General features: G+C 50.4%; 2 protein-coding genes and 2 long non-coding RNA genes across 9 annotated transcripts in view, besides 9 other annotated features; 1 reads left to right on the top strand and 3 right to left on the bottom strand.

Annotated features, from left to right (window-relative positions):
• Positions 1-14,834, bottom strand: part of RNF4 (ring finger protein 4) — a 46,752-nt gene extending 31,918 nt beyond the window's left edge. For 2 of the 4 annotated variants that reach the window (NM_002938.5, NM_001185010.3), the window contains exon 1: positions 14,682-14,834. The gene's annotated coding sequence lies outside the window, so the exon portion shown is untranslated. Of the gene's footprint in view, positions 1-12,830; positions 12,954-13,897; positions 14,488-14,681 lie in introns of those variants that run through there. The other 2 variants (XM_047416062.1, NM_001185009.3) reach the window with 2 other exon arrangements.
• Positions 4,848-5,372: an enhancer, noted in NCBI's record as "H3K4me1 hESC enhancer chr4:2480295-2480819 (GRCh37/hg19 assembly coordinates)". NCBI's record gives its function as "activates a minimal SCP1, AML or CMV promoter by ChIP-STARR-seq in naive H9 embryonic stem cells {active_cell/tissue: H9 hESC(naive)}" and the evidence as "EXISTENCE:reporter gene assay evidence [ECO:0000049][PMID:30033119]".
• Positions 6,288-6,788: an enhancer, noted in NCBI's record as "H3K4me1 hESC enhancer chr4:2478879-2479379 (GRCh37/hg19 assembly coordinates)". NCBI's record gives its function as "activates a minimal SCP1, AML or CMV promoter by ChIP-STARR-seq in naive H9 embryonic stem cells {active_cell/tissue: H9 hESC(naive)}" and the evidence as "EXISTENCE:reporter gene assay evidence [ECO:0000049][PMID:30033119]".
• Positions 14,192-14,311: an enhancer, noted in NCBI's record as "active region_21175". NCBI's record gives its function as "activates an Ori minimal core promoter by ATAC-STARR-seq in GM12878 lymphoblastoid cells {active_cell/tissue: GM12878}" and the evidence as "EXISTENCE:reporter gene assay evidence [ECO:0000049][PMID:35858748]".
• Positions 14,356-14,928: an enhancer, noted in NCBI's record as "H3K27ac hESC enhancer chr4:2470739-2471311 (GRCh37/hg19 assembly coordinates)". NCBI's record gives its function as "activates a minimal SCP1, AML or CMV promoter by ChIP-STARR-seq in naive H9 embryonic stem cells {active_cell/tissue: H9 hESC(naive)}" and the evidence as "EXISTENCE:reporter gene assay evidence [ECO:0000049][PMID:30033119]".
• Positions 14,356-14,971: a biological region, named in NCBI's record as "H3K27ac hESC enhancer GRCh37_chr4:2470739-2471311".
• Positions 14,612-14,971: an enhancer, noted in NCBI's record as "active region_21174". NCBI's record gives its function as "activates an Ori minimal core promoter by ATAC-STARR-seq in GM12878 lymphoblastoid cells {active_cell/tissue: GM12878}" and the evidence as "EXISTENCE:reporter gene assay evidence [ECO:0000049][PMID:35858748]".
• LOC107986250 (uncharacterized) lies at positions 14,989-19,418 on the top strand. The gene is made up of 2 exons (XR_001741551.3): positions 14,989-15,540; positions 19,228-19,418. It is a non-coding gene; the product is annotated as an uncharacterized LOC107986250 (long non-coding RNA).
• Positions 15,122-15,291: a silencer, noted in NCBI's record as "silent region_15170". NCBI's record gives its function as "represses an Ori minimal core promoter by ATAC-STARR-seq in GM12878 lymphoblastoid cells {active_cell/tissue: GM12878}" and the evidence as "EXISTENCE:reporter gene assay evidence [ECO:0000049][PMID:35858748]".
• Positions 18,456-20,936, bottom strand: LOC105374353 (uncharacterized). 2 transcript variants are annotated; one of them, XR_925057.3, is made up of 3 exons: positions 20,076-20,931; positions 19,817-19,967; positions 18,456-18,724 (listed from the first exon to the last, which is right to left on the bottom strand). It is a non-coding gene; the product is annotated as an uncharacterized LOC105374353 (long non-coding RNA). The 2 variants fall into 2 exon arrangements; XR_007057992.1 differs by having other exon boundaries at positions 19,817-20,936.
• Positions 19,993-20,492: an enhancer, noted in NCBI's record as "H3K4me1 hESC enhancer chr4:2465175-2465674 (GRCh37/hg19 assembly coordinates)". NCBI's record gives its function as "activates a minimal SCP1, AML or CMV promoter by ChIP-STARR-seq in naive H9 embryonic stem cells {active_cell/tissue: H9 hESC(naive)}" and the evidence as "EXISTENCE:reporter gene assay evidence [ECO:0000049][PMID:30033119]".
• Positions 20,910-21,529: a silencer, noted in NCBI's record as "silent region_15169". NCBI's record gives its function as "represses an Ori minimal core promoter by ATAC-STARR-seq in GM12878 lymphoblastoid cells {active_cell/tissue: GM12878}" and the evidence as "EXISTENCE:reporter gene assay evidence [ECO:0000049][PMID:35858748]".
• Positions 20,938-24,258, bottom strand: part of CFAP99 (cilia and flagella associated protein 99) — a 44,048-nt gene continuing 40,727 nt past the window's right edge. The window contains exons 14-16 of one of the 2 annotated variants that reach the window (NM_001193282.4): positions 23,698-23,903; positions 21,335-21,497; positions 20,938-21,130 (exon numbers count right to left, since the gene is read on the bottom strand). In NM_001193282.4, coding sequence (NP_001180211.2) covers positions 21,014-21,130; positions 21,335-21,497; positions 23,698-23,903 — 486 coding nt within the window. In that variant the 3' untranslated portion in view covers positions 20,938-21,013. Of the gene's footprint in view, positions 21,498-23,697; positions 23,904-24,258 lie in introns of both variants that reach the window. The other variant, XM_047415685.1, reaches the window with a different exon arrangement.

Raw genomic sequence — 24,258 nt, 5'->3', positions numbered from 1 at the left:
CAGGAGAATCGCTCGAACCCAAGAGGTGGAGGTGAGCCGAGATCGCACCATTGCACTCCAGCCTGCGCAACAAGTGAAACTCAGTCTCAAAATAAATAAATAAATAAAAATCAATAAAAACAAATAATTTTTTTTTGAGACACAGTCTTGTTCTGTCACCCAGGCTGGAGTGCAGTGGTGTGATCTTGGCTGACTGCAGCCTCCACCTCCCAGGTTCAAGCAATTCTTGTGCCTCAGCCTCCCAACTAGCTGGGATTACAGGAACCCACCACCATGCCCGGCTAATTTTTGTATTTTTAGTAGAGATGGGGCTTTGCCATGTTGGCCAGGCTGGTCTCCAACTCCTGACCTCAAGTGATCTGCCCACCTTGACTTCCCAAAGTGCTGGGATTATAGGTGTGAGCCACCGCACCTGTTCACAAACACCTCTTAAACAGAACTTTGATACCCTCAGTCATATCAATAACCACACCTTAATACTCAGAAGAAATATGAGCCTCTTGCTCATTATACAAATGAGGGTATGTGGTTAAGCGGTCAGCAATGATGTGGCTGGCCAATAAGCCCTACAGCCTTGGACAAATACTTGCCTTCTGTGCCTCAGTGTCCACATCTTTAATTGAGTAGAACACCTCACCTCTGTGGAACCAGTGACCGCTGAATGAAACACCCAGTATGGTTCCTAGCACCCAGAAGGCAGCTCTATCAACTAATTTGCTAACTATTCACAGGTGCCTAGTCTGGGTAAGGCACTGCTCCAGGGGCTAGGAATGGGATGGGAAACAGCAACAAAAAACTACCCATGGAGCATATATCCTAGCTGGAAAGATGATCAACAAATCAAGTAATAAATAGGTATTATATCAGAAGGGCTGGAGAGCATGTCCCTTCTTACAGGTATGAGTGCTATTAAATAAAGGCAAAACAAACCTTCACCCCAGGAGGAACTGGAACCAATGTTTCCGGCTCTCAGCAAGGGCTTTATTCATTTCCAGAACAGACTTGGCAGGATGTAGCTAATCACAACGGCTTAGACTTAGAACAGGACTCAGAGGAGGTTGAAGAAAGCCGGCACACAGCCAATGACAGGCAGTTCTCACCCAGAGTTATTTATTCCTAAGGCTCAGGGGCCTTGAACATTGGCCTCCCCTGAAGGTTTGCAGGGACAAGAGGAATGAATTTGATCAAAGCAGAAAGCAGCAGACTATGCTCAGAGAGGCAATGAGGCTTGTTCAGATGCCAAGTAACCAGGTCTTCCATAAAATTATCTTATGGCCCCGATTAAGCTGCCACCAGCAATCAGGCTACAACCAAAATCCCCAGGGGCCTGAAAGGAGCAAAGGGCTTTCACATCTATCAGCCAAGATGGCCTAGGCTTTGGGGCCTCATATAAAAACAAGGTAATTTCTGGGAGCCAGGAGAAAGGGTAAGATAATGAAGGAAACCTAAGGATCCACTCCTCCGGAGGCCGAGGGGCAGATGTACCTCAGATGCTAGAGGCCGTCAACATCCTCGACACTTCCCCAGGGCCCACAGTCAGCACAGGAGGCAGGCTTGCCAAGCTACCTGGTGTTGATGGCCACTGAGCACAGAGCCTGCTGGAGACCAGCTAGCAGCTTAGCTGCCTCTACTGTATTCAGAACCCAGGGTTGGCTGGGGTACAGGGATGGTTGTGAGACACTCACAAATCTGATTATTTGACCCATACCAGATGGGAGCAACTGAGCAGTGCCCCACAATGGGAATTCTCGAAGGGCACACCAGAGGGGGCCTAATCTCAAACAGCACTGTCTCTGGCTCCGGGCTCCTAAAGAGAGACATGTTCTTCTACTCTTAGTCAGATGCATCTGTGGGCTAAGGGACAATACAAGCTGTCACCAAAGGGCTAGCCAAACTCAACTCTCTAGGGGCTTGCATCTTGGTGGAGAAATCCAGCACCCAGAAGCCCTAATCTAGGCCCTCTTCAACTCTCCTTCAACACTTTACCTAGAAAGTAGACTAACAAATCAGTGTCCCAGCCTGGGCAACATGGGGAAATCCTGTCTCTACAAAAAAATACAAAAACTTAGCCGGGCATAGTGGTGTACGACTGTAGTCCCAGCTACTTGGGAGGCTGAGGTGGGAGGCTCGCTTGAGACTGGGAGGTTGAAGCTGCAGTGAGCCCTGACCATGCCACTGCACTCCTGCCTCGGTGATAGAGCGAGACTCTGTCTTTAAAAAAACACAAAAACACACATGCAAGTCAAAAAAATCACTGGCTCCCAGGGAAGATAAAAGCAGGCACGCACAACAGGAATGCTCTGAAGGAGACAGAAAGGCAGAAGAGAGCAGGAGGAGGAGGTCCAAGGAACTGAAAAGCGCCACAAGGTAATGCTAAGAATCACCAGGCTCCAAAATATCCAAGAATATTGCAAGTATTGCTCCCAAATAATCACAAGCATTGCCTACAGAACATAGGTCAAAGTCTTTATATCATACCAACCTCCCCTCCCAACTCGTCCTCACTTTTCTGGGTTCATTTGCAGTTACGGACATATGTGTTCCTTAAAAAAAATAAAAAAGCATCTTGCTATGCAAAAACCCACCATTTGTGAGGAAAAATGGAATTAGGGCACAACACTGAAAAATGTTGTCAGTGACACACACACACAAAACAATCTAGTGAAAATGGTAGTAAAGCTCTACACATGAGAAATGGTTAAGAAATACAAGTAACTGTGATACTTTACCTTGAAAAAGGCCTGAAGCTTGCTCTGTGGAAGCGGGCCTCAGTCAGTTTACAGATTGTGAGTTATTGAGAAGTGGAGGCAAAGAGAGTGAATGCTGTAACATCAGATGGACACAAATGTGGCTCACATACAAGTCAACTGAGGTGACTGATCTATGTGGAAGGTGTGTATATTACATGGCTTGGTTCAGCTGGCCTCAACTTTTTGCGTTCACCTAATATTTCTCACAGATGACACTGTGGGCAGCAAACTCTCAAGTGGTTCTCTAATACAGCAACCTCACTGGAACAAACTCATCTTTCCAAACAAACACTTCAAACAGAACTGTACTTTACTCCAGGTATCCTGGAAGTCAGTTCAAAGTACCTGACTTTGGACCTCAAAGAAGGTCCGAAGTTGGCCAGGTTGGTCCTGCCGCTCCCACCCCGCTTTAGGGAATTTCTGCTCGTTCTTCAGGGCCTACCTCAAAGGTTGCTTCCATTTCTCTCACTCCTCCTAGTCCTGACTTAACCATTTCTTCTATACTCCCTTAAATCAAGAAACATAACTTATCAAATACTTATCATGGTGTCCCCACCCACTAGCACAGCACTTGGCACAAACATGTAAATGAGATTTTTTTTTTTTCCTCACTGAAATTATCAAGGTCTGAGCTCACACCTGTAATCCCAGCACTCTGGGAGGCCAAGGTGGGCAGATTACCTGAGGTTGGGAGTTTGAGACCAACCTGGCCAACATGGTGAAACCCCACCTCTACTAAAAATACAAAAATTAGCCAGGCATGGTGGTGGGCATCTGTAATCCCTGCCACTCAGGAGGCTGAGGCAGGAGAACCCCTTGAACTCGGGAGGCAGAAGTTGCAGTGAGCCAAGATTGCGCCATTGCACTCCAACCTGGGTGACAGACTGAGACTTTGTCTCAAAAAAAAAAAAAAAAAAGAATGAATGAATGAAATTATCAAGCTCTAGGGCCAGGCATGGTGGCTCATGCCTGTAATCCCAGCACTTTGGGAAGCCAAGGCAGGATTGCTTGAGCCCAGGAGTTCTGGACCAGCCTGGGCAACATGGTGAAACTCCTTCTCTACAAAATATTAATACCAAAGAAAAAAAAAAATTAGCAGGGTGTGGTGGCACGTGCCTGTAGTCCCAGTTACTCAGGAGGCTAAGATGGGAGGATCGCTTGTGCCCTGGGAGGTTGAGGCTAGAGTGAGTTATGACTGTGCTACTGCACTCCAGCCTGGGCAAGACCCTTGTCATTCTGAACACCGACCCCCAACAAAAGTTATCAAGCTCCTCACATGCTTGAAAGAGATGGCGGATACCTTGAAAAGATGGCAGAGTGTTTTTGAAAGAGAAAAAAATAATTTCAGAGATGGGGGAAATGAAGCCTTTACATTGCAAGTAAAAACAGTCACAATTAGGAAACAAAGAAAGCCTTAAAAGCAGGACGGGGGACAGTACAGCCGTGTGCACCTGTATTAGTCCGTTTTCACGCTGCTGAGACAGACATACTTGAGACTGGCCAATTTACAAAAGAAAGAGGTTTAATGAACTTAACAGTTCCACATGGCTGGGGAAGCCTCACAATCAAGGTGGAAGGCAAGGAGGAGTAAGTCCCGTCTTACGTGGATGGCGGCAGGCAAAGAGAGCTTGTGCACGGAAACTCCCCCTTATAAAACTATCAGATCTCATGAGACTTATTCACCATCACCAGAACATGGGAAAGACCTGCCCCCATGATTCAATTACCTCCCACCGGGTCCCTCCCACATGTGGAAATTCAAGATGAGATCTGGGTGGGGGACACAGCCAAACCATATCATTCCACCCCTGGCCCCTCCCAAATCTTATGTCCTCACATTTTAAAATAAATCATGCCTTCCCACAGTCCCAAAGTCTTAACTCATTTCAGCATTAACTCAAAAGTCCAAAGTCTCATCCGAGACAAGGCAAGTCCCTTCCACCTATGAGCCTGTAAATCAAAAGCAATTTAGTTACTTCTTAGATACAACGGGGGTGCAGGCATTGGGTAAATACAGCCATTCCAAATGGGAGAAATTGGCCAAAACAAAGGGGCTACAGGCCCCATGCAAGTCCGAAATCCAGCAGAGCAGTCCAAATCTCAAAGCTCCAAAATGATCTCCTTTGACTCCATGTCTCACATCCAGGTCACGCTGATCCAAGAGGTGAGTTCCCATGGCCTTAGGCAGCTCCACCCCTGTGGCTTTGCAGAGTACAGCCTCCCTCCCGGCTGTTTTCACTGGGTGGTGTTGAGTGTCTGCAGCTTTTCCAGGTGTACAGGGCAAGCTGTCAGTGGATCTATCATTCTGGGGTGTGGAGGACAGTGGCCCTCTTCCCACAGCTCTACCAGGTGGTGCTCCAGTAGGGACTCTGCTTGGGGGCTCCAACCCCACATTTCCCTTCCACACTGCCCTAGCGGAGGTTCTCCATGAGTGTCCCGCCCCTGCAGCAAACTTCTGCCTGGGCATCCAGGTGTTTCCATGCATCCTCTGAAATCTAGTGGAGGTTCCCAAACCCTCATTGTTGACTTCTGCGCACTCGCAGGCTCAACACCATGTGGAAGCTGCCAAGGTTTGGGGCCTGCACCTTCTGAAACCACAGCCTGAGTTCTACTCTATGTTGGCCCCTTTTGGCCACAGCTGAGACGGCTGGAACGCAGGGCACCAGGCCCCTAGGCTGCACACAGCAGGGGAACCCTGGGCCCAGCCCAGGAAACCATATTTTCCTCCTGGGCATCTGGGCCTATGATGGGAGGGGCTGCCATGAAGGCCTGTGACATGCCCTGGAGACATTTCCCCCCACTGTCTTGGGGATTAACGTTTGGCTCCCTGTTACTTATGCAAATCTCTGCAGCTGGCTTTAATTTCCCCTCAGAAAATGGAATTTTATTTTCTAGCACATTGACAGGAGGCTGCAAATTTTCCAAACTTTTATGCTCTGCTTCCCTTATAAAACTGAATGCCTTTAACTGTACCCAAGTCATCTCTTGAATGCTTTGCTGCTTAGAAATTTATTCTGCCAGATACCCTAAATCATCTTTCTCAAGTTCAAAGTTCCACAAATCTCTAGGGCAGGGGCAAAATGCGGCTAGTCTCTTTGCTGAAACATAACAGGAGTGACCCTTGCTCCAGTTCCCAACAAGTTCCTCATCTCCATCTGAGACCATCTCAGCCTGGATTTCATTGTCCATATCCTTATCAACATTTTGGTCAAAGCCATTCAACAAGTCTCTAGCGAGTTCCAAACTTTCCCACATTTTCCTGTCTTCTTCTGAGCCCTCCAAACTGTTCCAATCCCTGCCTGCTACCCAGTTGCAAAGCTGTTTCCAAATTTTCAGGTATCTTTTCAGCAGCATCGCACTCTACTGGTACCAACTTACTGTACCAGTATGTTTTCACGATGCTAATAAAGACATACCTGAGACTGGGCAATTTACAAAAGCAAGAAGTTTACAAAAGCCAGTTCCAAATGGCCGGGGAGGCTTCACAATCATGGCGGAAGGCAAGGAGAAGCAAGTAAGTCATGCCTTACATAGATGGCAGCAGGCAAAGAGAGCTTGTGTAGGGAAACTCCCCCTTATAAAAGCATCAGATCTCTTTTGTTTTTTTAGATTAAGTCTACTCTGTTGTCCAAGCTGGAGTGCAGTGGCATGATCTCGGCTCACTGTAATCTCCACCTCCTGGGTTCAAGCAATTCTCCTGCCTCAGCCTCCCAAGTAGCTGGAACTACAGGCATGTACCACCATGTCCAGCTAATTTTTGTATTTTTAGTAGAGACAGGGTTTCACTATGTTGGCCACACTCATCTTGAACTCCTAACCTCGTGATCCGCCCGCCTTGGCCTCCCAAAGTGCTGGGATTACAGGCATCAGCCACCGCCCCCGACCTAAAGCATCAGATCTCTTGAGACTTATTCACCATCATGAGAACAGCATGGGAAAGACCTGCCCCCAAGATTCAATTGCCTCCCACTGGGTCCCTCCCACAACATGTAGGAATTCAATGTGAGATTTGGGTGGGGACACAGCCAAACCATATCAGCACCTGTATTCCCATTTACTTGGGACACTGAGGCAAGAGGATTAATTTAGCTTAAAGTTTGAGGCTGTAGGCAGGGCATGGTGGCTCATGCTTATAATCCCAGCACTTTGGGAGGCTGAGGCGGGCAGATCACCTGAAGTCAGGAGTTCAAGACCAGGCTGGCCAACATAGTGAAACCCTGTCTCTAATAAAAATACAAAAATGAGCTAGACGTGGTGCTGCCCACCTGTAATCCCAGCTACTCGGGAGGCTGAGACAGGTGAATCACTTGAACCCAGGAGGTGGAGGTTGAAGTGAGTTGAGAAAGAACAAGATTCTGTCTTTAAAAAAAAAAAAAAGTTTTAGGCTGTACTGTGCTATATAATTGCACCTGCAAATAGCCACTGCACTCCTGCCCGGGAAACATAGGAAGACAACCTTCTCTTAAATTAAAAAAAAAAAAAAAAGAAAGAAAGAAAAGGGCTGGACGTGGTGGCTCACACCTGTAATCCCAGCACTTTGGGAGGCCGAGGTGGGTGGATCACAAGGTCAGGAGTTCGAGACAGGCTGGCCAACATGGTGAAACCCCATCTCTAGTAAAGATACAAAAAATTAGCCAGCCGTGGTGGCACATGCCTGTAATCCCAGGTCCTTAGGAGGCTGAGGCAGGAGAATTGCTTGAACCCGGGAGGCAGAGGTTGCAGTGCTGAGATCGTGCCACTGTACTCCAGCCTGGGTGACAGAGCAAGACTCCGTCTCAAAAAACAAACAAAAAACAAAAAAACACAGATGATCATGATGGGAGAATAGGAGAGAACATTTCTACCTGAGGCATTTTCAACTTTTCAACTTGCAAGAGTAGGAGGCGAGAACCAACACTGGAAGACATCAAGAAGGTACTTACAAGGGAAGCAAATTTTAGTGCAGGTAACACAGAATGCTGCCATATTTAGGAGCAGAATTTAGCAGTAGTTTGGCTAAAGTAAGAGGTGAGGTGTGGCAGACAGGGAAATGCCTAGGCCCTAGGACAACTTCCCTTAGCTGGTGAGAGGAGAAAACTTAGGAAAAATAACTTTGAGGAATACAATACAGTTACTGAGAATCAATAAATTTTCTTGAGGATAATTATCAGACTCCTCTGCGGTGAAAGCAAAAATAAAGATACTATTTTGTTTTTACTATTTGAAGTTTCTAGAAACATTGGCCATGTGCTTTCCCACCACACAAAAAAAGCAGATGACATAACAAAGCCTAACAAAAGGAACAAAGGTAGGAGTCAGGGGTGGGGTGAAGTTTCGAGCTCTGCTTACTAATTGTGTGACCTTGGGCAAGTGACCCTGATCTCCCAGTGCCTCAGGAAGAGTAAAATGGGGCTAACTACAACAACTATCTTATAGAGTGGTTCTGTAAGAGAGTAAGAAGTAGGGAATCACTCAACCATAGATATTAAATCATGAGTCTGGAGTCTGAGACCAGCCTGGACAAAAGGGCAAGACCCAGTCTACAAAACTTTGTTAAAAATTAGCCAGGTGTGGGCCAGGCGAGGTGGCTCACGCCTGTAATCCCAGCACTTTGGGAGGCTGAGGCGGGTGGATCTTGAGGTCAGGAGATCGAGACCATCCTGGCAAACACGGTGAAACCCTATCTCTACTAAAAATACAAAAAATTAGCTGGGCATGGTGGCACGTGCCTGTAGTCCCAGCTACCCGGGAGGCTGAGGCAGGAGAATGGCGTGAACCTGGGAGGCGGAGCTTGCAATGAGCCGAGATCGCGCCACTGCACACCAGCCTGGGCGGCAGAGTGAGACTACATCTCAAAAACAAACAAACAAACAAACAAAAAGCCAGGTGCGGTGGCGTGCGCCTGTAGCCCCAGCTACTTGGGAGGCTGAGGTGAGAGGATCTCTTGAACCCAGAAGTTGGAAGCTGCAGTGAGTTACGATCGCACCAATGCACTCCAACTGGGGCAACAGGGAGATATTCTCTTAAAAAATAAATAAAAAATGCTAATGATCATTTGAGTCTTCACAAAGTTGTAATATTTTTGCTGGTGAAGGGTCTTGCCCTGATGATGGCTGCTCATGGATCAGGGCAGTGGCTAATGAAGGTTGGGGCAGCTGTGACAGTTTTTCTTTTTCTTTTTTTGAGATGGAGTTTCACTCTTGTTGCCCAGGCTGGAGTACAACGGCGCAATCTTGGCTCACCGCAACCTCTGCCTCCCTGGTTCAAGCAATTCTCCTGTCTCAGCTTCCCGAGTAGCTGGGATTACAGGCATGCCCCACCACGCCCAGCTAATTTTTTTGTATTTTTAGTCGAGACGGGGTTTCTCCATGTTGGCCAGGCTGGTCTGGAAGTCCCAACCTGAGGTGATCCGCCTGCCTCGGCCTCCTAAAGTGCTGGGATTACAGGCGTGAGCCACCGCACTGGGCCAACTGTGACAATTTCTTAAAATGAAGTTTGCTGCATCAGTTGTCTCTTCCTTTCATGAAAGATTTCTCTGTAGCGTGCAATGCTGTGTGACAGCATTTTACCCACAGTGGAACTTCTTTCAAAATTGGAGTCAATCCTTTCAAACCCTGCCACTGTTTTATTAACTAAGTTTATAAAATATTCTAAATCCTTTGTTATAATCTCAACAATGTTCACTGCACCTTCAGCAGTAAATTCCACCTCAAGAAACCACTTTCTTTGCCTGTCCACAGGAAGCAACTCTCCATGTGTTCAAGTTTTATTTAAAAATTGCAGCAATTCAGTCACATCTTCAGGTTCTACTTTTTTTTTTTTTTTTTTTGAGACAGAGTCTCGTTCTGTCAACCAGGCTGGATGGAGTGCAATGGCGTGATTTCGGCTCGCTGCAACCTCTGCCTCCTGGGTTCAAGCGATTCTCCTGCCTCAGCCTCCTGAGTAGCTGCGATTACAGGTGCGTGCCACCACACCTGGCTAATTTTTTTGTGTGTTTTTAGTAGAGACGGTGTTTCACCGTGTTAGCCAGGATGGTTTCAATCTCCTGACCTCGTGATCCGCCTGCCTTGGCCTCCCAAAGTGCTGGGATTACAGGTGTGAGCCACCTTGCCTGGCCCTTTTATTTTTTTGAGACAAAGTCTCACTCTATTGTCCACGCTTGAGTGCAGTGGCCCGATCTTGGCTCACTGCAACCTCTGCTTCCTGGGTTCAAGCAATTCTCCTGCCTCAGCCTCTGGAGTGGCCGGGATTACTATGCAGTAACAATCCCACTACCACGCTCAGCTAATTTTTGTATTTTTAGTAGAGACAAGGTTTTATCATGTTGGCCAGGCTGGTCTCCAACTCCTGACCTCAGGTGATCCATCAGGCCCAGCCTTCAGGCTCTACTTTTTTTTTTCTAGACAGAGTCTCGCTCTGTCGCCCAGGCTGGAGTGCAGTAGTGTGATCTCGGCTCACCACAACCTCTGCCCCTCCAGGTTTAAGCAATTCTCTGCCTCAGCTTCCAGAGTAGCTAGGATTACAGGCGTGCGCCACCACGCCCTGCTAATTTTTTGTATTTTTAGTAGAGACGGGGTTTCACCATCTGGCCAGGCTGGTTGTGAACTCCTGACCTCGTAATCCACCCGCCTAGGCCTCCCAAAGTGCTGAGATTACAGGCGTGAGCCACCAGGCCCGGCCAGGCTCTACTTCTAATTCTAGTTCTCTTGCTATTTCCACCACATCTACAGTTACTTTTTCCATTGAAGTCTAGAACCCCTCAAAGTCACCCATGAGGGTCAGAATCAACTTTTTCCAAGTTCTTGTTGTGTTAATTGATTTTTTTTTTTAAGACGGAATCTCACTGTTGCCCAGGCTGTAGTGCAGAGGCACAATCTCGGCTCACTGCAGCCTCCACCTCCTGGGCCCAAGCGATTAACCTACCTCAGCTCCTCAAGTAGCTGGGACTACAGGAGCGTGCCACCATGCCTGGCTAATTTTTGTATTTTGTTGGTAGAGACGGGGTTTCACCATGTTGGGCAGGCTGGTCTCAAACTCCTGACCTCAGGTGATCTGCCTGCCCCAGCCTCCCAAAGTGCTGGGATTACAGGCGTGAGCCACCGTGAACTGCTGATGTTGATATTTTGACCTCCTCCCATGAATCACAAATATTCTTTTTTTTTTTCTTTTTTGAGATGGAGTCTCGCTCTGTTGCCCAGGCTGGAGTGCAGTGGTGCTATCTTGGCTCACTGCAAGCTCCTCTTCCCGGGTTCACACCATTCTCCTGCCTCAGCCTCCCGAGTAGCTGGGACTACAGGTGCCCGCTGCCAAGACCGGCTAATTTTTTGTATTTTTAGTAGAGATGGGGTTTCACCATGTTAGCCAGGATGGTCTCGATCTCCTGACCTTGTGATCCGCCCACTTCGCCTCCCAAAGTGCTGGGATTACACGGGTGAGCCACCGTGCCTGGAGACAAATATTCTTAATGGTATCTAGAATAGTATATCCTTTCAGGAGGTTTTTAATTTACATTGTTGATACCCATCAGAAGAATCACAATCTATGTAGCTGTAGCCTTACAAAATGCATTTCTTTCTTTCCCCCTGCCGCCCTTTTTTTTTTTTTTTTTTAAGAGACTGGCAGTGGAGGGGGTGGTCTCACTATGCTGCCCCGGCTGGTCTCTAACTCCTGAGCTCAAGCGATCCACCAGCTTTGGCCTCCCGAAGTGCTGCGAGTACAGGCATGAGCCACTGTGCTCAGCCTCAAGATGCATTTCTTAAGTAAGATTTGAGAGTTGAAATTACTCCTTGATCCATGGGCTGCAGAACAGATGTTAACATTAATCTTACTCATCTCCATGAGACCTCTTTGGTGACTAAGCACATTCTCAATGAGCAGTAATATTTTGAAAGAAATCTTTTTTTCTGAGCTGTAGATCTCAATAGTGGGCTTAAAATATTCAGTAAAACATACTGTAAACAGATATGCTACTATACAGGCTTTCCTGTTTCAATGATCAGCACACAGTAGATTTTTGCATACTTCTTAAGGGCCCTAGGATTTTCAGAATGGTAAATGAGCACTAGTTACAACTTAAGTCACTGGCCACACTAGCCCCTAACAAGAGAATCAGACTGTCCTTTGAAGCCAGGCATTGACCTTTCTCTAGCTATGAAAGTCCTAGATAGTATTTTTTTTTCCATATAAGGCTGTTTCATTTACATTGAAAGTCTGTTGTTTAGTGTGGCCACCTTCATCAATTATTTTAGCTATATGTTCTGCATAACTTGCTGCAGCTTCTTCATCAACACTTACTGCCTCACCTTACACTTTTACATTACAGAGGTGGCTTCTTCCCTTAAACCTCATGAACTAACCTCTGCCAGTTTCAAACTTTTCTTCTGCAGCTTCCTCACTCTTCACAGAATTGAAGAGAGTTAGTACCTTGCTCCGGATTAGGCTTTCGCTTAAGGGAATGTCATGGATGGTTTGATCTTCTATCCAGACCACTAAAACTTTCTCCCTATCAGCAATAAGGCTGTTTGGCTTATCATTCATGTATTCATTGGAGTAGCATTTTAATTTCAAGAACTCTTCCTCTGCATTCACAACTTGGCTAACTGTCATTCAGCACAAGAGGCCTAGCTTTTGGCCTATCTCAACTTTTGATACGCCTTTCTCACTAAGGATAAACATTTCTTAACTTCACTTAAAGTAAGAGAGATTCAACTGACTGCTCCTTTTGCCTGGACACTGTAGGGTCACTGACTGGCCTAATTTCAATATTGTGTCTCAAGGAATTGAGAGGCCTGAGGAGAGAGACTGGGAACTGCCAGTCAGTGGAGCTGTTAGTACACACCCAACTTTTACCAATTAAGTTCACTGTCTTATATGAGTGCTATTCATGGTAACCCAAAACATTGATCACAGGTCACTATAACAGATGTAACAATGAAAAGGTTTGGGGCTGGGCATGGTGGCTCATGCCTGTAATCCCAGCACTTTGGGAGGCCGAGGCAGGCGGATCACTTGAGGTCAGGCGTTCGAGACCAGCCTGGCCAATATGGTGAAACCCCGTCTCCACTAAAAATACAAAAATTAACTGGGTGTGGTAGTACATGCCTGTAATCCCAGCTACTCCGGAGGCTGAGGCAGGAGAATCACTTGAGCCCAGATGGCAGAGGTTACAGTGAGACCGAGAACACGCCAGTGCACTGCATCCTGGGTGACAGAGTGAGATTCCACCTCAAAAAAAAAAAAAAAAAAAAAGTGTGAAATATTGTGAATTACCCAAACGTGACACAAGAGACACAAAGTGAGCACATGCTGTTGGAAAAATGGCTGGCATTTACAGACTTGCTCGATGAATCCTTGCTATAAACCTTCACCTTGCAAAAAAAAAAAGGCAGTATTTGCAAAACACAATAAAATGAGTTATCTCTTATTCCCTCCATCCTCACCCAGCTACAGGAGGACCACGACTGTTTACTGCTGTATTCCAAGCAGAAAGGTTGGCATACAGGAGACCTCAAAAATACGCTACTTTGATCTTGAGGAGAGTGAAAAATCTTACTCATTTTATGTACAAAGCACAGATGTGCATACATTATATAAAAAGAAATAGTTTACGTATGGCATTAAGATTTCATGAAGATTAGAAAAACAATGTTTACAAAAGGTCCTTACAAAGGTAGTAATTCAAGAAAAGATCAATAAACGATGTGTTAAAGTAAGATTTTTGGAAGCTCAAATTCAGGCAATACAAAAGCCAGCAATATATCTTGCTACTCGAATGCCTCTATTTCACCTCAAACTCACAGATAAAACTGAACCCAATATGTCCTTGTCCATTAAAAAGCAAATCACCAAGAAAGTAACAAAAGATTCCCTTCAATGTCTCTTTTATTGACAGTGGTCCCAAAACTCCTGGTCAATGAATTCAAAACCCAAATCTTGCAGGTAGGACTTAACCTCATCTGCTGCCAAATAGCTGGCTATGTGACCTTGGGCAGACCACTTCACTTTTCTGGACCTCAGTCTCCCCAGTCAGTTGGACAGTCTAAGCCAGGCTCCAGAGCTGAGACCCTACGTCTGGCTCAAGAACTTGGTGCAGAAACAGAACGAAGATTATTAAGTTTGTGAACGTCTATGGGAACTGACAAGTGAAAGACAAAAGCTGAAATCCCTACCAAAACGGCTTGCCCAAGCTCTATCCTTTTCCCTCTTCCCTCGATGGATCAAAGGCGGAAAAGCGGTGTTTACTAGCAACTCTGTTTCGGGTCGTGAGAATCTTCATACACCTGTCTATAGGCGCGCCAGAGCGGTGAAGGGCCCGAGCGGTGCAGGGCTGGGCCGCAAGCCTCACAGTCGCACGTTCCACCAACCACCAGCCGGGGCCCGGAAGCGCGCCCGGAAATCGAGGCCCTACTAAGTTTTAGACTGCGACCTCGGCGCCCCCACGGTCAGGCCCGCACCCGTACTCAGATCCTCCCGACCTACAAAAGGCCCCGCCACGCGGCCCACGCACCCCGGCAAACTCGCAGGCCCCACGATGGCGGGGCGGCGGCGCGAACACACAAAGGAGGCGTCGTCAGCGGGGAACAAAAACCCTGCCCGGGTCTTCCCCCTAACAGCACATCCTGCCCGACTTTCCAAGTGACCTTGGGGGCGTTCCTGCCCCTCCCAGAGTCTCAGTTTCCCTTCCTAGGCTAGGAACTAAGCCCCATGGCCGCGGCCCCCCAGGGTGAGCCGAGACCCAGACGCAGACCTCCTAACTTCTGTTGCCCGCGCCAAGCCGGGCTCGGTGCGCCCGCGCGGACGGCAGTGCGAGCGACCAGAGCTGGCTCGAGGTCCCGGGCTGCAAAGCCTCGGCTGGGTCAAGCCGCGCAGCGCGGCTCCCCCAAGAGGCGCGGGCCGAGGCCTCTGTAGGCCGCGAAGCTGCCTAAACCTCGCATCTGCAAGGCCCTGACTTACCGCTGCTTTCCCGCAAAGCTCGGCCTAACCTGGAGCTAGTTAGGTCCGCAGGCGCCACCGCCGGCGCACTCCGGAGAAGAAGCTCCTTCTTCAGCCGCCCAGGAGAGCTCCTCGAGAAAGATGCCGCCGCCTCAACAGCAACCCACTTCCGCTTCGGAGGCCTCGGCTCCGCCCCCCATCATGTCCCCATTGGCCGCCCGCCTACTCTACTTCCGCGGTCGGCCGGGTAAGGACAAATTTTTTAATCCTATTGGATAAGAAAACCATCTGTTACCACTTTAAAACGCGCCTCTTTCCGCCCCCGCCCACAATCGAGCGCACTAACTCGCACCTTCCGGCAAGAGACGGCGCGGGCGCGCCCCGCCCGCAAGGTTTTTCGGGAGTCACGGTCTGAGGGCGACCCGGGCGACCCGGTCGCCCGTGCCCGGCTGCCACTGACCGCTCCAACGCCGCCAGGGACGACCCGCCAGCTGCCTCCGGAGCCGAGCAGGCCCCGAACCTTCCCATTCCTAGATTTCCAGCCGCACAACAGCCGCGGTGCCCCTGGCTCGACGCAGCTGGCCGGAGGCGCGGAGCTGGTCGTTCGTCCCGCCCGCCGTTCCGCGCCCCTCTCCCGGCTCTTGTTTCCTCGCCTCTTAACGAGGCCTTTGTGAGGAAGGTTGCTGGGCCTTGGGACTCTGACGATCGGCTGGAAACCAGGCCTGGCCCTGTTTCAGCATCCCCGCGTGCCAAGCCCTGGGCCGGCGTGCGGGTCCCTGCCCCTGCGAGGAAGCTGGGACTTTTGCAGGCCTGGGTGGAGACGTGTACATAACAGAGGAAGAGTGTGGAGGATTGGAGGACTCAGGGCAGCACGGCAGAGGTGCATGCAGGTCCCCGGTCGGACTGGAGAATGGGCGGTGGGTTTCTTGAGCTCCAGTCCCTGAGCTCGACTTTGACGTGGGTTTAGCAACCAGGAAAAAAGCCCACCTTGTCCCTGCTGCCTGAGAATACCCAGACCTTAGTCCATGGCCAGCATCTCTGGTCCCTCGGCACCCTCAGGCAACGTGAAGGTCACCCCAAATGCCTTGGGTTACATTGTTTCCTTACAGTGAGTTTGTTTGTTTTAGTGGCGCGATCTCGGCTCACTGCAAGCTCTAACCTCCTGGGTTCACGTGATTCTCCTGCCTCAGCCTCCCGAATAGCTGGGATTACAGGCGCCTGCCACCACGCCCGGCTAATTTTCTTTGTATTTTTAGTAGAGATGGAGTTCCATCATGTTGGCCAGGCTGGTCTCGAGCTCCTGACCTCAGGTGATCCACCCTCCTTGGCCTCCAAAAGTGCTGGGATTACTGGTGTGAGCCACCTCGCCCGGCCACCTTACAGTGAGTTTCTAACCTCGAAAATGGAGTCAAATAACGGAATGACAAGGCAGATAGAAACCAGAGCATTAACGTTTTTGTGTTGCATTTACAAACAATATGTGTTTGCTATTTTTCGTAATTGTAAGGAAATCTGGCATGGTAGAGTATCTGATAGATAAATGTAATTCTCATGTAAAATATCTAAGTATTTGTGTTTTTTGTTTGTTTGTTTGTTTGTTTTGAGACGGAGTCTCGCTCTGTCGCCCAGGCTGGAGTGCAGTGGCGCGATCTCGGCTCACTGCAAGCTCCGCATCCCGGGTTCACGCCATTCTCCTGCCTCAGCCTCCCAAGTAGCTGGGACTACAGGCGCCCGCCACCACGCCTGGCTAATTTTTTTTTTTTTGTATTTTTTAGTAGAGACGGGGTTTCACCGTGTTAGCCAGGATGGTCTTGATCTCCTGACCTCGTGATCCACCCGCCTCGGCCTCCCAAAGTGCTGGGATTACAGGCGTGGGCCACCGCACCCAGTCTTTTTTTTTTTTTTTTTTTTTGAGACGAGGTGTCACTCTGTCAGCCAGGCTGGAGTGCAGTGGCACAATCATGACTCACTCACTGCAGCCTCGACCTCCCCAGGTTTAGATGATCAACCCACCTTGGCCTCCTGAGTAGCTGGGACCACAGGTGTGTGCCACCATGCCTGGCTAATTTTTTTGTATTTTTTTTTTGTAGACACTGGCTTTCGCCATGTTGCCCAGTCTTGTCTTGAAGCCCCGGGCTCAAGTTATCTGCTCACCTCGACCTCCCAAAGTGTTGAGATTACAGGCATGAGCCATCACACCCTGCCCTAAGTATTTGATTTTTGATAGCGACTGTAAGTTGAAAGGTATAACATTTTCCGAAGTTTGTGATTATAATTGGAGCAAAGAGAACTTAAAAGTTTAAAAGAAATGAAGACATTTAATATATCTATGAGAATTATTTAAATATTAATACTTGATAAGGCAGACAACTGAAATGCTAAAAAATAAAATTAGATTCTACGTGTATAAATGCAGTTGAAAATGTTTAAGAGAATTTCAGTTCATAAATGGGGCCGTACATGATTAATCAAAATGGTGGTTAAAAATGATCAGATTTAGGGCGGGCATGGTGGCTCTCACCTGTAATCTTAACACTTTCGGAGGCTGAGGTGGGAGGATTGCTTGAGCTGAGGAGTTTATAGATGAGCCTGGGTAACGTGGTAAAACCCCCTCTCCACACACACACACACAAATAATAATTAGCCGGGTGTGGTGGCATGTCCCTGTGGTCCCAGCTACTCAGGAGGCTGAGGCAGCAGGATTACTTGAGCCCAGGAGGTCATGGCTGCAGTAAGCTGTGATTGCACGTCAGCTTGATTGACAGAATGAGACCCTCTCTCTCTCAAAAAAAAAAAATCAGATTTAGAAAAAGTAATATTAGTAATTTGTATTTTACAGCCTAAGGAAAAGTTAGGGTTTTCTGTTTGTAACTGTAATATATTGAAGATGTGATGTTGAAAAAGTCTCTATAAATACCAGTTTCATGCTCAAAGACTGCCTTCAGCCAGGGCAACATAGTGAGACCTCATCTCTACTAAAAATAAAAAATTAGCTGGGTATGGTGGTAAGTGCATGCAGTCCCAGCTAGTAGGGAGGATGAGGCAAGAGGATCACTTGAGCCCGGGAGTTTAAGGCTGTATGAGCTATCATCACGTCACTGCACTCCAGCCTGGGTGACAAAGCGAGACCCTGCCTCAAAAACAAAAACAAAAGCTGCTTTCAAGTCTTCTCCAAGCCTCACTTGCACTGAACTTGTTCCTTCACAAATAGCGCTTCCCTTGGGCCCTGAACGCCTGCAGCTTAGAGAAAAGACCGGCACCTTGGTGCTCCCATAGTCCCACAAGTCGAAACCAGCTGAATGCAGGTTCCTGGGCCTCACACCAGCTACTAAATCTGTTTCTTCACTATTTCCAAAGAAAGCCCCTGCCCAAGTGGGTCTCAGATGCTATCAACAAGGATCTTCTGACTAGCCTGTACTCAGGCAAAATGTCCACTCCCCAGGCAGTCCAGCCAGGAAAGGTTCAGAGAGGGATTGTCAGCACTAGCTGGGCCATATCTCACTCTGGCTGGCCCCCTTTGGGGGAGTAGCTTGATTCTCTGTAAAGAGCCTATGCAGGGAGGGAAGGCAGGGGCCCCTAGTGTGAAGGCCCTGGGCTCTTAAGGGTGTGCCCCTTAGCTGCCTGTGCAGGGAGGGGAGGCAGGGGCCCCCAGTGTGAAGGCCCTGGGCTCTTAAGGGTGTGCCCCTTAGCTGCCTGTGCAGGGAGGGGAGGCAGGGGCCCCCAGTGTGAAGGCCCTGGGCTCTTAAGGGTGTGCCCCTTAGCTGTTGCTCTGGAACAAACCACCCCAAAGCTTGATACTTTGAATGACAGACATTTATTGTTGCTCATGAATCTATAAGACAGCAGGGTTGGGGGAGGTTCTTGTCCGGCTGCGCTCTCATTTTGTGCTCTGCTAGTCTAGGATGGCCTCTGAGATGGTGTCCTCCACATGGTGTCTGATCCCAGCAGGCCACCCTAGTCATGCTCACATGGGGCCTGGCGAAGGTTCCAAGAGAACAAGTGGGAGCTCCAAGGCCACCTGAGGCCCAGACTCAGAACTGGCACGTGGTCACTTCTGTTGCACCCTATTAGCCAAAGAAAGTCACTAGGCCAGACCAGATGCAAGGGCTGGGGGAATAGACTCCACCTCTCGATGGGAGGTGTAAAGTCACAAGGCAAGGGGCAGGGATACACAGACATTTTGCCATCACTCTATCACACAATGCCTACTCCCAGGCCACAACTTTAGGGAATGGTCCGAGGCCTGCTCCCACCTAGGTTTGTATGAGGAGAGGCCCCACGTGCTCTCAAGCTAGCTCTAAGCGGCTGCTCAGTCCAGGAGGGGGCAGGGGAAGACCTTGTTACCTGCCAACCAACAGTGTTGCCAATAGTACCCTCAATTTGTTAGCTGCCACATCTCCCCTCTGCTCCAGAGGCCAACCTTCTAGGTGAAGGGTAATTCCCCTGCCTTGCCACAGTGCTTGCTTCAGGCACCCATGCAGACCTTCCCTCACTGCAGGAACTGGCTCAGCCCAAGTATGTTCAATTCAGGCCAATGAGACTGGGGCAACTGTTCTTTGTTCCTCAGGCTGGAACTGCTACCAGAGTGGAGACTGAGCTCCTGGATCGGGTACATCCTGAAGTCTGCTGCCTTTGGATTGGCATTATGAGAGCTAATAAATCCCCCTTTGAAACCCCCAGAGCTCAGAGGGGCTTTCTAGGCCAGGCATCATCAATGTATTCCATCAATATCAAATTAAATGGGTTTGGATCACACAACACGGGATATGAGCAATGTTTATTTCTTTTTTTTTGAGATGGAGTTTGACTCTTGTCACCAGGCTGGAGTGGTGCGATCTCAGCTCACTGCAACCTCCGTCTCCTGGGTTCAAGCGACTCCATTCTCTTGCCTCAGCTTCCCGAGTAACTGGGATTACAGGCGCCAGCCACTACGCCCAGCTAATTTTTGTATTTTTAGTAGCGACGGGGTTTCACCATGTTGGCCAGGCTGGTCTTAAACTCCTGACCTCAGGTGATCCACCTGCCTCAGCCTCCCAAAGTGCTGGGATTACAGGTTTGAGCCCCCTTGCCTGGCCAATGTTTATTTCTTTAAATGAAATTTAATCTGCTCCCAGCTGCAATTCTACAGAGATGTGGAAATTCTTCTCCTTACCTACCTGGGTGGTAAAATCCTGGGGTTCTCACAAACTCAGAATATTGGAGTAGGGCTCTTGTCCTTTAGCCTGTTCTTGTCACTGCTGAGATGCCTGCCTTCCTGGTCTGAGTGTACCCTGGGACTCAGCCTCCTCATCTGAGGCACCATCTCCTCTGCAGGCCCAAGGAGGATATTGGGAGTTGGGGAAGGAAATATATCTCCCCTGGACATCTAGCTTATCTGTCAGTTTCCACTCCCCAACCCCTTACTGCTCTGCTCACCACCCCACGGACTTGACGCTTTTCTCTCTTTCCTGGGAAGAAGGTGGCTTAATGTACTTTCTTCTTGAGGCTGTCACCAGCAGGCGTTCACTCAGCAAGCCTGTCCTCAAGGTGGAGCCTTCTGTAGCCCACGGAGTCCCGGGACACTGCAGAACCAATCCATCTTGGTCCCTGCCTTGGGTGAAGTCCTGCCTCCATTGGCCCTGATCTTGTTGGATCTGGGCTGCTTCTGATGCTAGAGAAAGGGGAGGAGGGGGTGCTCCCAGGCGCAGCTCTGGGTTTTGGCCCTCTAGGCCGGTCACATCGCCTCTTTGAGCACCTGTGGCTTCATCAGCAGAACAGGGGCAGGCCAGTTCCTACGTCCCTGGACCGTAGTGAGGATGGTGGAGGCGCGTGAAGGGCCAGTGCAACGTTGGCGCTCAAGAATCCTGGCCACTTCCCCAGCCAAACGTACACTCACAGTCGCCACTCAGTCTCGGGGGTTCCCTAGGTGAAGCCACCTGGATGCCGGCAAAGGGTGGGTGTTCCAAATTTCCACATCTGAAGGGGTTCTGGGAGTTTCGAAGGGGTGCGCACCAGGAATGCCTTATGCTAGGCTGTAGGGAAGTGCTAGGACCTGGGCCGGGGTGGCCAGATTTCGCTTATAAAAATGCAGGATGCCCAGTTCAGTTGAATTCCCGATAAGGAGAGGATACATTTTTAGCCTAAGTTTGTCCCCACGCAGTAACTGGGCGTCCTGCCTTTTATCCGGCAATGCTTTTCTGGGCAGACGGGGGCTAGGAAGGGAGAGGGGTGCGGTCGGGGTGCGGAGGCAGGGGGGCCGGGGCCGAGGGGGGCCCGGCCAAGGAAGAGGAGGCGCGCACCGCGGGCCGCACTCTTTATTGGGGCGGCGGGTGTAGGGGGTGGCCCGCAAGCGGGTGGGGCGCGCTCGGCCCGGCTCAGGCGGCCTCCAGGCGGCGCGCGGGCCCGGGTCCTGAGCCTCCCTGCTGCAGCGCCTGCAGCCTGCGCTCGCGGCTCCGCTCCAGCTCCAGCCAGTGCTGCGCCTCTAGCTGCGCCTGCAGGCCGGGGAACGCGTCGGCGCGGGCAGGGACGCCCCCACCGCCTCCCGCGCCCGCCGCTGCGTATCTCCCGGCCGCGGACCGGACCCGATCTCCCCGCCATCCCCGCCCCGGGACGCCGGTCCCTGCGCGCCGCGCCCGCCATCCCCACCCGGCCCCGGCTTTCAGTCGCCCGGGCTCCTCCCACCAATCCGGACTCACCCGGGGCTTGGGGCGCGCGGTCCGCGGCGCCGACACGTGCAGCAAGGCCGCCTGCCTGCTGCGCTCGGCCGCCCTCTCCGAGATCCTGCGCCGCAGCTGCTGCACGCGCTCGTCCTGCGAGGGCGCCGCCGGGGCCGCCGCAAGGGCCTTCTTTTCCTCCCACCTGGCGGGCGACGCGGCGGGCTCAGGAGCAGGCCGGCGGGAGGCCCAGGCCAGACCCAGGATGCCACCCGTGTCCAAGCGACGCGGGGGCAAGGAGCTACGCAGCCGGAGAGGTTCACCGGAATGATTTAGGACAGACAGCGAGGCCCAGGGGCCGCGGCGCGCTCCTAGACAGTACCACCGCTCAGGGGCTGGAGGGGTTGGGGGAGTCTCCAGCACTTCTATCTACCCTTTTGCTCTTTTTTTCTTTTCTTTAATTTTTGTTGTTGTTGTTTGTTTGTTTGTTTGAGGCAGGGTCTCACTCTGTCGCCCAGGCTGGAGTGCAGTGGCGCGATCATGGCTCACTGCAGCCTTGACCTCCCAGGCTCAAGCAATTCTCCTACCTCAGCCTCCCAAAATGCTGGGATTACAGGCGTGAGCCACGGCGCCTAGCAGCTTTTTTTTTTTTAAACTTAACATTTTTTTAAAAAAGTATTACAGGTGTACTAACTATATGCATAACTGGGGTACAAATGTGAAAGCCTCCTTTGACCTCGCACTCTTCTGTCTCTTGCCTGGAGGTACCCCCTGCTAACGCTGTGGTGCTGTGGCCTGCATCTCCACAGGTACCTGCAGACATGGCCCTTGATCCTTCTGATTGTATGTGTTGTTCCCTGCTGGCTTTGGCGTCAGTGGACCTCACAGCCTTAGGATATTTGCATGTGCTGTTCCCTGTCTCCACCACTCTTGTCTGACTGTCCAGGTCGACCCTGGTGAATTTGTGGCCTGGGGCCTAAGTGCATGCCTGAGCCCGCTCTAACTTTTTTAGCAGGAGGTAGACCTTTGGAGGCACCCTAACACCAACCAGGCTGCGTCTGAGCTCTGCCAGGCCGTGGCCAGCAGCTGGAAGTGATGAGCTGTCCAGGTGTGTGCCACCTTGGGGAGCTGGTGGGCAGCCAGCCCGCCCTGTACAGCACCAGCAGCGGTTGCCCTGTGCCTCCTCTGAATTGCAACCAGAGCAGCGGCCCCTCCAAGGACCAACAGTGAAGGGCTCTCTTCCATCAGCAATGATTAGTCCTTCCTTCTGTCCGCCCCGCCATCCACCACACCTAGTCCCACTCAGAAACCGTCTCCGGAGCCCTGTATGCCAGGCTCTGAACGAGGCTCTACTACAACAGCTGGGCCTCCCTGGGAACTAGGCCAGGGCCCAGAGGCCAGCCTGACCCCAGGACCAGGGGACATGCCTGCCCATGTCTGACCTGGCTGCCAGGGGCCAGCCACAAGGGGCTAAAAAACATCACCAGACTGTCCCCCAAACAAGTAAAAAGGCATCTGTATGTGTGTGCATGCAAACGAGCTATCTGCAACCCTCAACTAGATCCTGGTTTAAAAAGAAAAAAAAAGTTACAGCAACAGTCTTTTAAAAATGTTAGCCAGGCTGGGCTCACACCTGTAATCCCAGCATTTTGGGAGGCCAAGGCGGGCAGATCACGAGGTCAGGAGTTCGAGACCATCTTGGCCAACATGGTGAAACCCTGTCTCTGCTAAAATACAAAAAGTTAGCCGGGCGTGGTGGTGTGTGCCTGTAGTCCCAGCTACTTGGGAGGCTGAGGCTTGAACCTGGGAGGCAGAGGTTGCAGTGAGCTGAGATTGCGCCACTGCACTCCAGCCTGGTGACAGAGCAAGACTCTGTCTCAAAAAACAAAAACAAAAACAAAAAACAGTTGGCCAACAGTCTTTGGACACCTGGGGAAATGTGAAAAAAGATGAGATATTTAGGTGATGTTGGGAATTTTTGTTCCATTTTCTATTGGTGTCAGGGTGCTGTGGTTTATGTAGGACGATCTATTTTTTTAGAAGATGTATGCTGAAGTGTTTAAAGTGTCTGATTCCTGCAACTACTTCCTAATGCTTCTGCAGACATAAATAGCTAGCTGGCTACGTGAAGCACATATGGTGAAAGGTTGGACCCATGAGCTGGGTGCAAAAATGACTGCATCTGGGTCATGGCTTCTGAGCCATGGATGCAGAATTTTGCACCATTCCCATGTGCCTGGAAGTCACCTACTACAATAATAGGGGTCAGGGGAGTTACGGCAAGGGAACTTCCTGGGCAGGAGGGTGGTGGTTGTTTCTAGGAGACCCACCCAGGAGGGTGCAAGGCAGGCTTACAGCATGCTCCCTGTCCACCCAGAGGCACCCTCCCCGAGCCCAGTACCAACCTCAAGGCTGCGGATCTCCCCATGGCTGCACGGCACAGCGAGATCTGCTCCACCATGTTCTGCAGTTCCTGGCTCTTGGTGTGCTTGCCCTGAATGATTTGATCCCGCTTTTCTTCCTCCTTGCGCCGCTGATTCTCTTTGAGCAGGGCCAGCCGCTCTCGCAGCTCCACTATGGACATCTCTCCTTCCAGGCCGTAGCCGGGGATCTGTGGGGTGGTAGGGGAGGCCCCAAGCTGGGAGCTGTGCTGGGCCCCGATGCTTCCCACCAGGATCCCTCCCCTGTTCCATAGGCCCACCCCTTGCCCACCTTCCCTCTGCTTCAACACTGCTTATGAAACATGCCCCCAGCCTCTCCAGCCTGGGCTCCGCTCTGCAACACTACACCTTGTGTGGGTCTGCACATCTCAGCTGGACTGAGGCCCCTCCACTGTGGCAAGTCCCAAATGGAGCTCATGACTATCTCCCCAGCCAGGCTTCGGGGCCTGGGGCAGACAGCCGTTTGCACTCCCCATGGCCTCGGGGCTGGGCCAGGCCCTGCAGCTGGCTCCCCGCACTCCTCTG

Source organism: Homo sapiens, chromosome 4 (assembly GCF_000001405.40).
Source record: "Homo sapiens chromosome 4, GRCh38.p14 Primary Assembly".
In the NCBI taxonomy this organism is placed as follows: Eukaryota; Metazoa; Chordata; class Mammalia; order Primates; family Hominidae; genus Homo; species Homo sapiens.
This window is presented reverse-complemented; position numbering and strand designations above follow the sequence as displayed.